Raw genomic sequence first — 17,113 nt, forward strand, 5'->3', positions numbered from 1 at the left:
CCAGCTCCCCTGACGGTGCCACTGAGCCTCTATCCGCCATATAAGGACTGACCAACGCTCTAAGGCAAGTCCAGAAGCGGTGTCGAAACTTCATAACCCAGAAGACACTGCGGTTCTCGGCAGCGCGACTGACCCAATGAATGTGCAGGAAGGAACCTTTGCGTGCGTGCGTGCGTGCGTGCGTCCGTCCTCGTGCTCGCGCATCGTAGGAGGGCGGGACTTCCGGCGTCCTCTTGCCGTGGTTGATTTGATTTTCTCTGGTGTTTTCACTAGTTCCGGCCTTTGGCGCTCTATGACGTCACCGAAGTGACGGAGCGGAAAAGCGCGAGAAGCGGCTTGGTTCCTTGTACGCAGAGGCGGTAGTGACACAGGCACAACTGACAGTGGCAGAAGCTCAGCTGACAAGGACTGGGGACGGCGGTGTCCTTGTCTTGCCTTTGTCGCCCCCGCCCCTCTCTTCCCTGGCTGGACTTGCGGAGTCCCCGCCGAAGAACCCGAGGTGGGTGCCCCGTCCCAGGCCCCCCCCCACCTCCGCCCGACCCCTCCTTCCAGTGCTGAAGCCCATAGAAGGGGCCCTGCAGGTCAGGCCCCTTGTCTCGAAGAGAGGGGCGTTCCTGTGTGGGGTCCCCGTATCAGCTGGTTTGATGCAGCCTCAGAGCTCCCTTCGGGGATCTCAGGTTCAGAGCATGGAGGTGCTGCCAAGTGGGCCGCGTCGGGGAGCCCGGAGTGTGGGTTGTTTCTGCGGGAAAGAGAGGGTTTTGTGAATTTTCTCTTGGAATGGCAGCCTGAGCAGCCGGTATAACCATGGAAGGTTGTCAAGGGAAGACCAGTGGGAGGGGCAGGTCCAGAGTTAGAACGAGCAGGATGGGGAATTGACACAGAGAGACCCAGAAGAGGCCACTGCAGTGGATCCCAGAGGCTGCACCAGAGCCGTGGTATAAGAGGGACAATGTGATGGGATTCTGGATAGACCTGGAAGATAGAGCCAACAGGTTTTCCTGCCGTATCAGATATGTCTGTGAGCAAAAATAGGGAGTGAAGGGTCATTTTTTTTTTTTTGCCCGAACATCTGAAAGAATGAAGTTGGGGAAGTCAGCAGCATGAGAAGTAGGTTTCATGGAGAAGATCATGGGTTGGAGTTTGGCCAGTGTGATTCTCAGGCGTCTCAAGTTGAAAATGTCACATGGGTAGGGGGACAGAAAGGTGTGGAGTCTACAGAGGAGAACTGGTGTAGATTCTTCAAAAGAATAGAGGGTGGCCGGGCGTGGTGGCTCACGCCGGTAATCCCAGCACTTTGGGAGGCCAAGGCGAGCGGATCACAAGGTCAGGCGTTCAAGACCAGCCTGACCAACATGGTGAAACCCCGTCTTTAGTAAAAATACAAAAATTAGCCGGGGGTGGTGACGCGCGCCTGTAATCCCAGCTATTCGGGAGGCTGAGGCAGGAGAATTGCCTGAACCCAGGAGGTGGAGATTGCAGTGAGCCAAGATCGCGCCATTGCACTCCAGCCTGGGCGACAGAGCGAGATTCCGTGTCAAAAAAAGGTGCGGAGCGCGGGTCTCTTCCGCGGAAACTGACATTGCGTTTCCGTTGTCGGCCTCCCGCTGCAGGAGCCATATATTGAAGACCATGTCTGGAAGCTTCTACTTTGTAATTGTTGGTCACCATGATAATCCAGTTTTTGAAATGGAGTTTTTGCCAGCTGGGAAGGCAGAATCCAAAGACGACCATCGTCATCTGAACCAGTTCATAGCTCATGCTGCTCTCGACCTCGTAGATGAGAACATGTGGCTGTCGAACAACATGTACTTGAAAACTGTGGACAAGTTCAACGAGTGGTTTGTGTCAGCATTTGTCACCGCGGGGCATATGAGGTTTATTATGCTTCATGACATAAGACAAGAAGATGGAATAAAGAACTTCTTTACTGATGTTTATGATTTATATATAAAATTTTCAATGAATCCATTTTATGAACCCAATTCTCCTATTCGATCAAGTGCATTTGACAGAAAAGTTCAGTTTCTTGGGAAGAAACACCTTTTAAGCTGAATGGAGAAAATTCCAAAATAAATTATATCACCACAATGGTGTATACTCAGGAATGTGTACATTGTAAATTACTTGATTAAATAGCCTGGAAATCTTTTGTGTATTCTCAGCTTATCTAAACTTAATGAAATTTCTTTTATATTTAAAAATAGTACATTCTGTCTCATGTCACATATCAGTAGATCAATTAGTATTTCCTTGTGAACAATGTTATTTATAAAGAACTCATTATCAATAATAATTAATTTCTTTCTTTTTTTTTTTTTTTTGAGACGGAGTTTTGCTCTTGTTGCCCAGGCTGGAGTGCAGTGGCACAGTCTCGTCTCACTGCACCCTCCGCCTCCCAGGTTCAAGCAATTCTGCCTCAGCCTCCCGAGTAGCTGGGATTACAGGCTCCCACCACCATGCCTGCCTAATTTTTTTTGTATTTTTAGTAGAGACGGAGTTTCGCCATGTTGGTCAGGCTGGTCTTGAACTCCTGACCTCGTGATCTGCCTGCCTCGGCCTCCCAAAGTGCTGGGATTACAGGCATGAGCCACCACTCCCGGCCATGAAATATTTTTACTTAAAAATTGGGAATAAGCTTTCTTTTTCTTTCTTTCTTTCTTTTTTTTTTTTCTTTTGAGATGGAGTCTGGCTCCTGTTGTGCAGGGGCTGGAGTGCAGTGGCACGATCTTGGCTCACTGCAACCTCCACCTCCCGGGTTCAAGCAATTCTCCTTCTTCAGCCTCCCAAGTAGCTAGGATTACAGGCATGCACCACCACGCCTGGCTAATTTTTGTATTTTTAGTAAAGACGGGATTTCACCATATTGGTCAGGCTGGTCTTGAACTCCTGACCTCGTGATCCGCTCGCCTCGGCCTCCCAAAGTGCTGGGATTACAGGTGTGAGCCACTGCGCCTGGCCATGAAATATTTTTTACTTAAAAATTGGGAATAAGCTTTTTTGTGTGTGTGTGTATGTTTTTGTTTTTTTGTTTTTGAGATGGAGTCTTGCTCCTGTCATGCAGGCTGGAGTGCAGTGGCACGATCTTGGCTCACTGCAGCCTCTGCCTCCCGGGTTCAAGCAGTTCTCCTTCCGCCTCCAGAGTAGCTGGGATTACAGGCATACGCCTGGCTAATTTTTGTATTTTTAGTAGAGACAGGGTTTCGCCATTTTGGCCAGGCTGGTCTTGAACTCCTGACCTCAGGTTATCTGCCTGCCTCGGCCTCCCGGAGTGCTGGGATTACAGGTGTGAGCCACTGCGCCTGGCTGGGAATAAGCTTTCGACTTGCCCAATTCAGATAAATTGTTTTTTTTTTTTTTTTTTTTGACGTGGAGTTTTGCTCTGTCGTCCAGGCTGGAGTGCAGTGGCGCTTGGCTCACTGCAACCTCTGCCTCCTGACTTCAAGCGATTCTCCTGCCTCAGCCTCCCAAAGTGCTGGGATTACAGGTGTGAGCCACCATACCCGGCCCAGATAGGTTGATCTTATAACAATCCAGAAACAAATGTCATAGTCAAGATTTGGTAGATAGATTTAAAACTAAAATATTCTGCCATTGGAAGTGAAATGTCATAGCACATACGTGGACGTTATGCATTTAGAGATGTTATAAAAATGTATTGGCAGTATACATAGCACTACTCAAGAAGCCAAAGAAACACTTGTGCAGTGCTAAGTGTCACATGTCTGCTTCTGCCAGAGGCTAGGAATAGTGATCTTGCTATAATGTGAGAACCTGAATCATGTTTGTAAAATAGGAGGCTGGGAGCAGTTCCAGGCCACAGTGAAGTGTGTTGCTTCTGTCACTTTATATTCTTATATTTCCTTTCCCTCAGACAATCAACTGTTGATGCCTGTACTTGTGAAAAGTTGTAAGGCAATTTTTAGGGTTGTTGTCAAAGAAAAGCTTGGATTACATTAACATTTGTACTCAGCCTTTTAGGCAATACACCAGAGGGGGCTGGGAATTGTCTGTTTGTTCCTATGATAAGTAGATCTTACTGTAAAATAGTAAATGTCCATTGAAAAGCAAGTAACACAACCTGTGCTAACTGGGAGCACTTGAACAATTTTGTTCCATTCTGAATAACTTTTCAGCAAGTAATTCTAAGCTTTGTCTTATATCCTTGTGTAAAATTGCTACCTTCATTTTTACCCTATTTGATTTCTTAAATGGTTTGTTCAAGAAAAAAAAAAAAAAAAAAAAGAATAGAGGGTGTAGATTGGACCGGGTCCTGAGGATCCAATTTGGTAGGGAAGTCTAAAGGTCATTGCCTGCAAGCTATGTGGTGAGGGAGGAGAGAGCTGATACTTGGGGTTCACACCATAGGTGGAGCCATAAGCCAGATGCTTACTTTAGAAAGGCGCAGACCTGCCATAGGAAGGATTTTGTCCTCTGCCTAGAAAAAGGGAGGCGTGGGTGGGATAAGGAATGGGCTTGGGATGGAGACTAAGGTTTGAGATGGTTTATATTCTGCACCTACAGGCTTGGCTGACCCTCAGGGCCACTCTTTGTGGGAAAAGAAAAAAGTTATCCAGGCTAGTGGAGCAGCTGGGTTCTAAACTAGGGCACTGCTTTTTCCCCTTCTCCACATATCAAGGCAAGATTGGATGATCTACTGCCCCAGTCAAGGTCTGCCAGCAAGCTCCCCTCAGAGCCTTATGTAACAGGCAGGCCTGGTTGCAGAGGACCAGTAGCTGACCTACCTGCTCAGCCCTTCCCTACAACTCATTAAGAATATATGAAACACTTATTGGTATAAGCACTAACCAGTGTCCTTCTAAATGTGTACACATAGGCAGTTAGAAGTGAAGCTATTCATTGAGTTAAATTCCTGCAAACACTACATAATTGATTTGACCCAAATTTGCCTATAATTATCAACATACCATGGAAAATTTTAGTATCCTCTAAAATTTTAAAAGCTAAAAATATACACCTCAGTTTTTGAAATTCTACTACATCATTTATACTGAAAACATATAGTAAACCATTAATCCAAGAACAGTAATAGCTGATATATATGATGAGCAACGAGTGTTTGACACCGGTAAGAGTCCTATGAGGTGGGAGCCATTCTTACAACCTATTTACAGATGAGAGCACTGAAGCTCCAGCAGGTTCAGTTCTTTTCTAGAGTCACAGTGCTGCTAAGAGCCAACAGTGAAGTCGGAGGAGCTGAGTTTATACAATCAACTTGAGATCAGTTTGCTTTAGGGTAAGGAAGAAGAGATGGTGGTCCAACTCTGCCTGTAAGATCTTCCCATCGTTGCCCATTTCTCACGGTTTCCCTCTTCCTTCAGGGTCCCCTGGCGATGGCAGAAATGAACCCTGCACAGGTGAGTGGAGTGTTTTCTACCTTTCACCTACCAGTTATCTCATAGATGGTTTTGGCACCTCCATGTAAAGAAAAGTGGTGTCCAGAGACTCTCTTTCTGTCTTTCTCCCTCTCTTATGTCTGAAAAGTGAGTGATTCCACCAGTTCTAGTATCTTAAATTAGGTCTGGGATTTTTGTTTGATTGTTTTAAGTTTACTGTGACACCTTACCTGGATGGCCCTGGATTATGTGGAGTGGCTCCCATTTTTGACAGTTGACGTGGTAACATCTGTCAGAGTGTCATGGGCACAAGATTAAGAATGTTTCAGTGTTTAGAGGAGAGACTGAACTGGATTTTTAGGGAACTGCAAGTGTCTGTTATATCGGATAGGAATAGGGAGCAGAGTGGGAGGTGGCTAGAGACACACAAACATCAGGCCTGGAATGACAGCCTAGGTCCTGGGTCTCTAATCTAAGGGAGGTGGTAGATGGGGAAGATTTGAAGCAGAAGAGGGCAGTGATAGGACCCTAGCTTAAGGAACTTTCTTTGGCGTCTGAGTGGAGGACAGACTGTGGAGGTGAGGGTAATGGCAGGGAGATCTGAGAGGATGTTCCTGCAGCAGTCTAGGTGGATGTTGGTGGTGACTTGTCAAGAGTAGCGGTGGCTTCAGGATGTGTTTTGAACTGGAGCTGCCCACATTTTATGATGTAGAGAGTGAGGCAGCTGGGGGGGTGGGATAGAAGGGGAATCAGGAGTGGCCCCATGGTTTTTGTTTGGAAGCATAGATGCTCCATCAGCTAAGATGGGAGAAGTCAGCAGTATTAGGAATTTTCAGAGTGAGTGTGAGGAGTCAGTGTTTGTTCAAGCCACAGATGTCTCAGAGACTCCTGGTGGAGGAGTTCAGGTTGGAGACGTCCACACTATGGTGGCTGTCGTATGGACCAGGATGAAGCCATGGATTCAGTTTAGGTGACAGCATCTCTAGGTTATGGTGGCAGTGCTGTTCGAAGACAGAGAATTGGAATGGGGCATGAGAACTGGGTCTCTTACTGGGTAGCTGTGCAGTGGTGGAGGAGTCACTAGACAAATGAGGGAATGGAGTGTTTGTGGGGATGAGTGTATGTGAGATGGTGGGGTATAGGAGTGAGAAAGACTTCTGAAGGAGAGTGGACATGATGGGGTTGCTGAGGAGGGTAATAGGGTGAGGTCGGAGAGTTGCTAAGCATCAGTTGGAATGAGATGAGGATGGGAATTCTATTAGTCTGTTTTCATATTGCTACAAAGAACTACCTGAGACTGGGTACTTTATGAAGAAAAGAAGTTTAATTGACTCACAGTTCTTTTTTTTTTTTTTTTTTTTTTTTGAGATGTGGCCCAGGCTGGAGTGCAGTGGCACAATCTCGGCTCACTGCAATCTCTCCCTGCCAGGTTCAAGCGATTCTTCTGCCTCAGCCTCCTGAATAGCTGGGACGACAGACTCACCCCACTACGCCCAGCTAATTTTTGTATTTTTAGTAGAGATGGGCTTTCACCATGTTGGCCAGGATGGTCTTGATCTCCTGACCTCGTGATCCATCCTCCTCAGCCTCCCAAAGTGTTGGGATTACAGGCGTGAGCCACCGCACCCAGCCCATAGTTCTTCAGGCTTAACAGGAAGCATAACTCGGAGGCCTCAGGAAACTTACAATCCTGTGTCCATGAGGCAGGACACAGCTGAGAGTATGTGAAGTCCTCACATGGTTTGGGCACCTGACAGTGAAGTGAGAAACAGGGCCATGTAGGGAACCTTCAACCCAGGGCTTAGGGCTGCCCCCGGTGCTAGGGAACTTTGGTGTTCTGGGGCAGGACTGGGAGTGAATTGGATGCTGAGCGTATTTGCCGTGCACCACCTGGTTTCTGTGTGCAGAGTGGCCTGTTAGGAGGTGAAGGAAATGCCTGTGGTGTGGGCTGGGAGGTGTCTGTGGAATTGACTGGAGTGGAGGTGTGAGAGATGGGATTGGAGTGCTGTCCAAAGAGTGATGTGCAGGCAGGAGGAGTGTGAATGGAGGGCCTCAGGCCCTGGCCCTGGTAGCTCAAGGGAGGAGGATGAGTCTGAGTTTGGTTGTCTTGGGAGGCAAGATCTGGGTGACTCCATGGAAACTGGCTGGCAGGAGAGGATGGATCCCCCCACGGGAGGCCCACATTCCTTTTCTACCTTATCTTCCATCTGTTTCCTCTGTGTGCTGGACACGGTGGCCAATGTCAATATGGAGAGAAAAGTCACTCATGCCACCTGGATGTGGTTTCTCTTCCACATTGGGAGGGTGTAGAGATTGAGGAAGGAAAGGAGGTGTAGGGGAGAGGGATGAGTTCCTGGAGAGAGAAAAGTAGCAGTGATTGTACCCATTGGGGTTTTTTGTTTTTTTTTTTTTAGATGGAGTCTTGCTGTGTTGTCACCCAGGCTGGAGTGCAGTGGCATGATCTTGGCTCACTGCAACCTGCACCTCCTGGATTCAAGCAGTTCTGCCTCAATCTCCCAAGTAGCTAGGACTACAGGCATGTGCCGCCATGCCCACCTAATTTTTGTATTTTTAGTAGAGATGGGATTTCACTGTGTTGGCCAGGCTGGTCTTGAACTCCTGACCTCAGGTGATCTGCCCGCCTCAGCCTCCCAAAGTGCTGGGATTATAGGCATGAGCCACTGTGCCTGGCCCCCATGGAGTTTTAATTTATGGATGTGAGTGAGTGATGCCAGGGACAGGCCAATGACACTGAAAGAAGATATTTATTCCTTACGTTTCCCTAAGGAGGTTACATACCACATAACACAGGGCCACACGGTGAAACACCAGATTTGATCAGGAGGAAAATTGGAGTGAGTTTAGTTTAGTCCACAGATGCTGTTGGGGTTTCCAAGGGAAACAAGGCAGGGCTGGCTGTCAGGATAGTTTGGCTAGTTTTAGTAATTCCAGGACACCTGGGCTATTGGGACTGTCCCTAGTTGTGCAGTACCTGTCCCTGGGTTGATTTAGAGCATGGGAAATACTGACTTGGTTTGAGAAAGTTAGAGATGGAGATGGTTAAGAATATGTGCCCAGGATGGTAGGGGAGATGGAAACACATTTAGCTGTTAGTTTGTCCCTGTGTTTAATGGGTGGTAAATATAAGTAGAAAATAAATAGAGAACTTAAGTAAATACAGTTTGAAAAGCTGCTCATGTATTCATCTTTCCCAATTTGGCAGGGTCATGTGGTTTTTGAAGACGTGGCCATATATTTCTCCCAGGAGGAGTGGGGGCATCTCGATGAGGCTCAGAGATTGCTGTACCGTGATGTGATGCTGGAGAATTTGGCCCTTTTGTCCTCACTAGGTAAGGCCCTCACACTTGCCCAGTGTCCTGGGTTGGGCTGTGTTGTCTCCTTTTACCTGAAGGCAGCTCTGCGTTTCCCACAGTGAGACCATGGGTGCTGCTTCTTTTCCTTGTTTCCTGACATATGTTCCATGAGAGTCAGGACTGCAATATGTGCTGTGTGCTTCCTTTTTCCTGGCAGCCCCATCCTCTGCTGTTCTGAGGCTTGCAAGAAAGGGCTCAGGATCCAGAAATGTTGAAGGTGACATAGAGACCCACTGGCCCTGTGTTCTATTCAAATGCATGAGACCTCTGTGCTCTGTTGTTCCCTTGCTCTTGCCAATATTTCTTGGTCCCTTCTTGTTCCTGGAATTTCTGGCACTGACCTGATCACTAATTTGGTGAACCACTGGCTTGATTGTGTAGGATGTAGAAATCTTCTGTGAAGTTCTGGTGATTATCGAATGTGAGATATCATCAGGTGATCTCTCTGGGAATGTGCTGTCTTGTCTCTTTCTGTGTCTTTCCCCTAGGACTGGTCTCTTTCAGGTCTCACAGACTGTCACCTTAAGCAATGGGGAGGGCCCTGGTACCCAAGAGGGTGGATATTACTCCCTGAAGGGCTGTAGAGACTCAGAGGGACATGATCCTGGTTCCTGGGAGTTGGGAAAAGGTGTAATATCACAGCTGGGGTCATATTACTAGGAATCTGTCTGGTGACCCCTGTTGTTTAGTTGAAGACTGGTTGCCACAACTCACTCTTCTTTTCCTTCCCCCGTTGTCATTTTTACTCTGACTTCTAATCCCTGGCTTCCAGCCGTTACCTATTTTCTTCAACTGCTCCCTCTGCAGTGCCATCCACTGCATGACCTGTACTTAAGGTGAGGTCTGCATGTATTTGTCAGTAGTCCCTGAACACCATCTCCTCTGTCACAATCAGATCTCTCTGGGTTTAGACACAGCCTTCTACACACTGCTCACTAGTCACCAGCAGCCATGGCCTGTGGAAAGCCATTTGCAGAGAAGTGACTTGGAGACCCTCCTCCTCTCTGCACTGTACCCCTCTCTTGTGTTCTTACCCATCATCAGGGCTCTCCCATTATGGGTATTTGCCAGGTCCAACTCTGCACAGCAGGCCTTCTTCTCATTGGCCTTAGTGTTTGTATTACTTCATTCTCACTCTGCTATTAGGAAATACCCAAGACTGGGTAATTTCTAAAGGAAAGAGGTTAATTGACTCACAGGTCCCCATTGCTGGGGAGGCCTCAGGAAACTTACAGTCATGGCGGAAGGCAAAGGAGAACTAGGCATCTTCTTCACAGGGCGGCAAGACAAATGAGTCCAAGCAGGGAAAATGCCAGACACATAAAACCAGCAAATTTCATGAGAATTTACTCAGTTTCATGAGAACGGCATGGGGGAAACTGTTCCCATGATTCAGTTCTGTCCACCTGGTCCCACCCTTGACACGTGGGGATTATGGGGATTACAATTCAAGATGAGATTTGGGTGGGGACAGAGAGCCTAACCATATTATTCCACCCCGGCCCCCCCCACCCAATTTTATGTCCCTTCCACATTTCAACACCAATCATGCCTTCCTAACAGTCCTCCAAACTCTTAATTCACTCTAGCATTAACCCAAAAGTCCAAGTCCAAAGTCTCATCTGAGATGAGGCAAGTCCCTTCTGCCTATGAGCCTGTAAAATCAAAAGCAAGTTAGTTACTTCTAAGATATAATGGGGATAGAGGCACTGGATAAATGTACCTATTCCTAATGGAAGAAATGGGCCAAAACAAAGCCTACAGGCCCCATGCAAGTCCAAAACCCAGCGAGGCAGTCATTAAATCTTAATGCTCTGAAATGATATCCTCTGACTCCATCTCTCACATCCAGGGCACAGTGATGCAATAGGTGGGCTCCCACTGTCTTGGGCAACTCTGCCCCTGTGGCTTTGCAGGGTACAGACCCCCCCTCAGCTGCTTTCATGGGCTGGCATTGAGTGTCTCTGGCTTTTTCAGGCACACGTTGCAAGCTGTTGGTGGATCTACCATTCTGGGGACTGGAGGACGTGGCCTTCTTCTCATAGCTCCACTAGGTAGTACCCCAGTAGGGAGTCTGTGTGGGGGCTCCGACCCCACATTTCCCTTCCTGCAGTGCCCTAGCAGAGGTTCTCCGTGAGTTCCACCCCTGCAGCAAACCTCTGCCTGGACATCAGGCATTTCCATACCTCCTCTGAAATCTAGGTGGAGGTTCCCTCCCAAATATCAGTTCATGACTTCTTTGCACCCACAGGCCCAACACCATGTGCAAGCCACCAAGGCTTGGGGCTTAAACTCTGAAGCAATGGCTGGAGCTGTACCTTGCCCCTTTTAGCCATGGCTGGAGTTGAAGCAGCTGGGATGCAGGGCGCCATGTCCCGAGGCTGCATAGAGCAGGGGGACCCAGGGCCAGCAGCTGGGATGCAGGGCTCCATGTCCTGAGGCTGCACTGAACAGCCTGGGCCAGGCCCACAAAACCATTTTTCCCTCCTAGGCCTCTGGGCCTGTGATGGGAGGGGCTGCCGGGAAGGTCTCTGACAGGCACTGGAGACATTTTCCCCATCACCTTCGTGGTTAACATTCCACTCCTCGTTACTTATGCAAATTTCTGCAGCAGCCTTGAATTTCTCCCCAGAAAACGGGTTTTTCTTTTCTATTGCATAGCCAGGCTGCAAATTTTCCAAACTTTTCTGCCTTGCTTCCTCTTGAACACTTTAGCACTTAGACATTTCTTCTGCCAGATACCCTAAATCATCTCTCTCAAGTTCAAAGTTCCACAGATATGTAGGGCAGGGGCAAGAAGCTGCCATTCTCTTTGCTAAAGCATAGCAAGAGTCACCTTTACTCCAGTCCCCAACAAGTTCCTCATCTCCATCTAAGACCACCACAGCCTGGGCTTCATGGCCCATATTGCTAAATCAGCATTTTGATCAAAACCATTCATCAAGTCTCTAGGAAGTTCCAAACTTTCCCACATTTCCTGTCTTCTGCTGAGCCCTCCAAACTGTTCCAGCCTCTGCCTGTTACCCAGTTCCAAAGTCACTTCCACATTTTCGGGTATCCTTACAGCAGTATTTCACTACCTCAGTACCAGTTTACTATATTTGTCCGTTCTCACACTGCTATTAAGAAATACCCTGGCTGGGCACAGTGGCTCACTCCTGTAATCCCAGCACTTTGGGAGGCTGGGGCAGGTGGATCATCTGAGGTAGGAGTTTGAGACCAGCCTGGCCAATATGGTGAAACCCCATCTCTACTAAAAATACAAAAATTAGCCGGGTATGGTGGCAGGTGCCTGTAATCCTAGCTACTCGGGAGGCTGAAGCAAGAGAATCACTTGCACCCAGGGGGTGGAAGTTGCAATGAGCTGAGATCGTGCCACTGCACTCCAGCCTGGGTGACAGAGCAAAACTCTGTCTCAAAGAGATACGCGATACTTGGCCAGGCTTGGTGGCCCACTCCGGTAATCCCAGCACCTTGGGGGGGCTGAGGTGGACGGGTCACTTGAGATCAGGAGTTTGAGACCAGACTGGCCAACATGGCGAAACCCCGTCTCTACTAAGAATAACAACAACAACAAAAATTAGCCGGGCATGGTGGCTCATACCTGTTATCCCAGCTACTTGGGAGGCTGAGGCAGGAGAATTGCTTGAACCCAGGAAGCGGAGGTTGCGGTGAGCTGAGATCAAGCCACTGCACTCCAGGCTCGGGGAAAGAATGAGAGTTTGTCTCAAAAAAAAAAAAAAAAAAAAAAAAAAGACATACCCGAGACTGGATAATTTATAAAGGAAAGAGGTTGAATTGACTCACAGTTCCGCATGGTTGGGAGGTCTCAGGAAACTTACCATCATGGTAGAAGGCAAAGGAGAAGCAGGCATCTTCTTCACAGGACAGCAGGATGGAGTGAGTGCAAGCAGGGGAAATGCAAGATGCTTATAAAACCATTAGATTGGCCGGGTGCAGTGGCTCACACCTGTAATCCCAGCACTTTGGGAGGCCGAGGAGGGCGGATCACCTGAGGTCAGGAGTTTGAGACCAGCCTGGCAAACATGGTGAAACCCCATCTCTACTAAAAATACAATAATTAGCCAGGCGTGGTGGCACGTGCCTGTAATCCCAGCTACTCAGGAAGCTGAGGCAGGATAATCACTTGAACCCAGGATGCAGATGTTGCAGTTAGCAGAGATCGTGCCACTGCACTCCAGCCTGGGCGGCAGAGCAAGACTCAGTCTCAAAATAAATAAATAAAACCCATGAGATCTCAGGAGAACTCATGATCATGAGAACAGCATGGGGCAACCGTCCCCATGATTCGGTTACCTTCACCTGGTCCCACCCTTGACACGTGGGGATTATGGAGATTACAATTCAAGATGAGATCTGGGTGGGGACGCAGAGCCTAACCATATTGTTTCCAGACCAAACCGAGGGTGGGGCTGCTTATTCTTGCAGCCCAATAATGAGATGCAGATGAACTGGGGAAAAAGAGAGTTTTTATTTCTGTAACCGGTTACAGGGAGAAGGCCTGGAAATTATTGCCAAACCAACTCAAAATTACAAAGTTTTGCAGAGCTTATATACCTTCTAAGCTATTTGTCTACATGTGGGTTTGCATTCATCTAAAGATATAAGTGATTAACTTCTCTGTAACCAAGATCTGAGTCCTGAAGACCTTCCTCTGGAGCCTCAGTAAATTTACTTAATCTAAATGGGTCCAGGTGCTGGGGTGATTACCCTTATCTTGTCTCCTTTTAAATCATGGAGGTTTGGGGAGTTTCCTTAGAACCCCAATAAACTTATTCGTGGAGGCCTGGGGAGTTTCTTCAGACCCCCAATAAAATGTATTTAATCCTAAACGAGTCCTGTTAAGAATTCCTTCATTATCTTTTCATCCTTTAAGGCCCAGGAAAGGCCTAGGCAAAACTCTTGGTGGGCTTTTGTTACATTCCAGCCTGTACATGAGGGCACTGGCTCTATCAGCTTTTAATCAACTTAACCACTCAGTCAGTGCTGAAACCGTTGTCATGGAAGCCTGCCTGCTCAGCTGTTAGTGAGACCTGGCCTGCCACAGTACCAGGGTTCATGCCTGTCACCAATTCCATGATCATTTTCATGGGGTGTCTGACTGACATTTGTGATGGGGTTGCCTCCGCTCATCACAGTCAACATGCACCTCACCAGCATTTTTATTCTTACAGGTTGTTGCCATGGAGCTGAGGATGAGGAGGCACCTTTAGAGCCAGGTGTTTCTGTAGGAGTGTCACAGGTCATGGCTCCAAAGCCCTGTCTATCTACCCAGAATACCCAGCCCTGTGAGACATGTAGCTCACTTCTGAAGGACATTCTGCGTCTGGCTGAGCATGACGGAACACACCCCGAGCAGGGACTGTACACGTGTCCAGCACATCTTCACCAGCACCAAAAGGAGCAGATTAGAGAGAAACTTTCTAGAGGGGATGGAGGAAGACCGACATTTGTGAAGAACCACAGAGTTCACATGGCAGGGAAGACCTTCTTGTGCAGTGAATGTGGGAAAGCCTTTAGCCACAAACATAAACTTTCTGACCATCAGAAAATCCACACTGGAGAAAGAACTTATAAGTGCAGCAAATGTGGGATATTGTTTATGGAAAGGTCCACACTCAATAGACATCAGAGAACTCACACTGGAGAAAGGCCTTATGAGTGCAATGAATGTGGGAAAGCCTTTCTTTGTAAGTCTCACCTTGTTCGTCACCAGACAATCCACTCTGGAGAAAGGCCTTATGAGTGCAGTGAATGTGGGAAATTGTTTATGTGGAGTTCCACACTCATTACACATCAGAGGGTTCACACTGGAAAGAGGCCTTATGGTTGCAGTGAATGTGGGAAGTTCTTTAAGTGCAACTCAAACCTCTTTAGGCATTACAGAATTCATACAGGAAAAAGGTCTTATGGTTGCAGTGAATGTGGGAAATTCTTTATGGAAAGGTCTACACTCAGTAGACATCAGAGAGTTCACACTGGAGAAAGGCCTTATGAGTGCAATGAATGTGGGAAATTCTTCAGCTTGAAATCCGTCCTCATTCAACACCAAAGAGTTCACACTGGAGAACGGCCTTATGAATGCAGTGAGTGTGGGAAGGCCTTCCTTACAAAGTCCCACCTCATTTGTCATCAGACAGTTCACACTGCAGCAAAGCAGTGCAGTGAATGTGGGAAATTCTTTAGGTATAACTCTACACTTCTCAGACATCAGAAAGTCCACACTGGATAAGGCCCTTATGAATGCAGTGGATATGGGAAAGCCTTCAGTCACCAACATATTGTGGCTGGACAGCAGGCAGTACACACTGGAGAAAGACTGAATGCCGTGAACGTGGGTAATTATGTAGGTACAGCTCTCCAGTCGCTATGTATCAGAGAATTCACACTGCAGAAATGTGTGTTCAGCAAACTCGGGACATTATTTTGGTTTGACTCTCATCTCATTAGACATTGGAGAGTTTACACTGAAGAAGAGTCTTTTCAATAAAGTAGAAAGTGGTAAAGATTCAACATGCAAGATTGTACTTATTGGGCTTCAGAATATCCACACTAGTGAAAGTCTTCTGAGTACAGCAAATGTGTGACATTATTTTGCTACTACTCCACACTACTTAGACATCATGTAGTTCACACTGGAAAAAGGCCACGTATGTGCCTTGAATGTAGCCAAAATGACGAACAACACCCAGAAATCTGTGATTTAGCACTGAGAACTAGTATTATATGGTTTTTAAAAAACAATGGTGAAGTACATGCCACATAAAATTTGCCATCTTAACTATTGTAATGTCTTGTTTAATACTTGAAGTACATTAACATTGTTGAGCAAAGAATATCCTGAACTCTTTATCTTGTAAAATGAAACTCTATAACCACCATTAAAAAAACAACTCATTCCCACATTCTTCAGTCCCTGGCGACCACCATATTTTTAAGTCATTATGACTCTGACTATTCTTGGTACTTCTCAGAAGAAGAATCTTAGAGTGTTTTTCATTATTTTTTTTCACTTAGGATAATATCCTCAAAGTTCATTCATTTTTTAGCATGTGTCAGAAATTTTAAGGCTGAGCAATATTTCATTGTTTGCATTTACCACATTTCCTTTATTTCTGACATCTATTCATGGACACTTGGGTTACTTCTACCTCTGGCTATTGTGAATATTGCTACTACAAGCATAAGGGCACAAATATCTCTTTGAGACCCTGCTTTCAATTCTTATTGGGTACCCCAAAAAGTGGAACTGCTGGATCACATGGTACTTCTAACTTTAATTCTTTGATGAACTGAGAAACTTTTCCATAAAACTTGCACCGTTTTACATTCCTAACATTCCACAAAAGTTGTGATTTGTCCTCATTCTAATCCATAGAAGGCAACATTTCTAACAGGTTTCTAGGTGATTTTGTTGTTGCTGATGTAGGGACTACATTTTGAGAACTGTCCTATCCCATTTTTATAACAATGCAGAGCTTCTCTGTAAATACCCCTTGTTTCTATGTTCTATCCTGTGAGCCTTTTCATTTTGTTAATTTTTCCCAGTGTTTACAACCAGGAAATAGCTTGTCATCTTTGATACAAAACAGAAATCTTTGCAAAATACCAATTGCATTCTGTAGCCCTTGGATCATTTTCTCCCCCAATCTATGTAGATATTTAGTGGTGTATAATGTTGTATGAGAATACATCATGGTAAGAATACATTTTAAAGGACTTTAAGTCAGGTCACAAAATACAGCAATTTACCTGTGGACCTGCCCTCTACCCAGGCCATCCAGTCCCAATGACTGTGCTCTTACTGCTGCTTTCCAGGTGTGTACCTATCATGGGGTGTGCATGCCACTGACCATTCCTCTGTGCTCTTACTGCTGCTTTCCAGGTGTGTACCTATCATGGGGTGTGCATGCCATTGAGCATTCCTCTTAATGGGTTCTAGGCAACAGATAGAATAGCTTAGGTGCCAAAGCCACAGAACCTATCAGGGGTTGTGTCATTTTGAAAATTATGCCAAATTCTAAATGATCTTGTATGACAGCAGTCCCCCAACCTTTTTGGCACCAGGAACTGGTTTCATGCGAGACAGTTTTTCTGTGGATGGCAGTGCAGGGGGCTGGATGGTTTCGGAATGAAACTCTTCCACCTCAGATCATCAGGCATTAGTTAGATTCACATAAGGAGTGCACCTAGGTCCCTCGCATGTAACAGTTCACAGTAGGGTTTGTGCTCCTATGATGTCTAATGCCGCCGCTGATCAGGAGGTGGAGATCAGGCAGGAATGCTCGCTCCTGCTGTGCGGCACTGTGTGGCCTAGTTCCTGACAGGCCACGGACTGGTACGGTCTGTGGTTTAGGGGTTGGG

At 46.7% G+C, this 17,113-nt stretch overlaps 2 protein-coding genes across 2 annotated transcripts, besides 1 other annotated feature; both read left to right on the forward strand.

Annotated features, from left to right (window-relative positions):
* Positions 20-399: an enhancer, noted in NCBI's record as "active region_15136". NCBI's record gives its function as "activates an Ori minimal core promoter by ATAC-STARR-seq in GM12878 lymphoblastoid cells {active_cell/tissue: GM12878}" and the evidence as "EXISTENCE:reporter gene assay evidence [ECO:0000049][PMID:35858748]".
* On the forward strand, positions 347-2,201 carry TRAPPC2B (trafficking protein particle complex subunit 2B). The gene is made up of 2 exons (NM_001355204.2): positions 347-499; positions 1,611-2,201. Exon 2 carries the CDS (start codon positions 1,630-1,632, stop codon positions 2,050-2,052), a length of 423 nt encoding a protein of 140 aa, NP_001342133.1. The 5' UTR covers positions 347-499; positions 1,611-1,629; the 3' UTR covers positions 2,053-2,201.
* Positions 347-16,361, forward strand: ZNF547 (zinc finger protein 547). The gene is made up of 4 exons (NM_173631.4): positions 347-499; positions 5,340-5,375; positions 8,578-8,704; positions 13,924-16,361. The coding sequence occupies exons 2-4, from the start codon at positions 5,352-5,354 to the stop codon at positions 14,979-14,981; spliced, it is 1,209 nt and encodes a 402-aa protein (NP_775902.2). The 5' UTR covers positions 347-499; positions 5,340-5,351; the 3' UTR covers positions 14,982-16,361.
* The last annotated feature ends 752 nt before the right edge of the window (positions 16,362-17,113 follow it).

This window comes from Homo sapiens, chromosome 19, assembly GCF_000001405.40.
Source record: "Homo sapiens chromosome 19, GRCh38.p14 Primary Assembly".
Taxonomy (NCBI): Eukaryota; Metazoa; Chordata; class Mammalia; order Primates; family Hominidae; genus Homo; species Homo sapiens.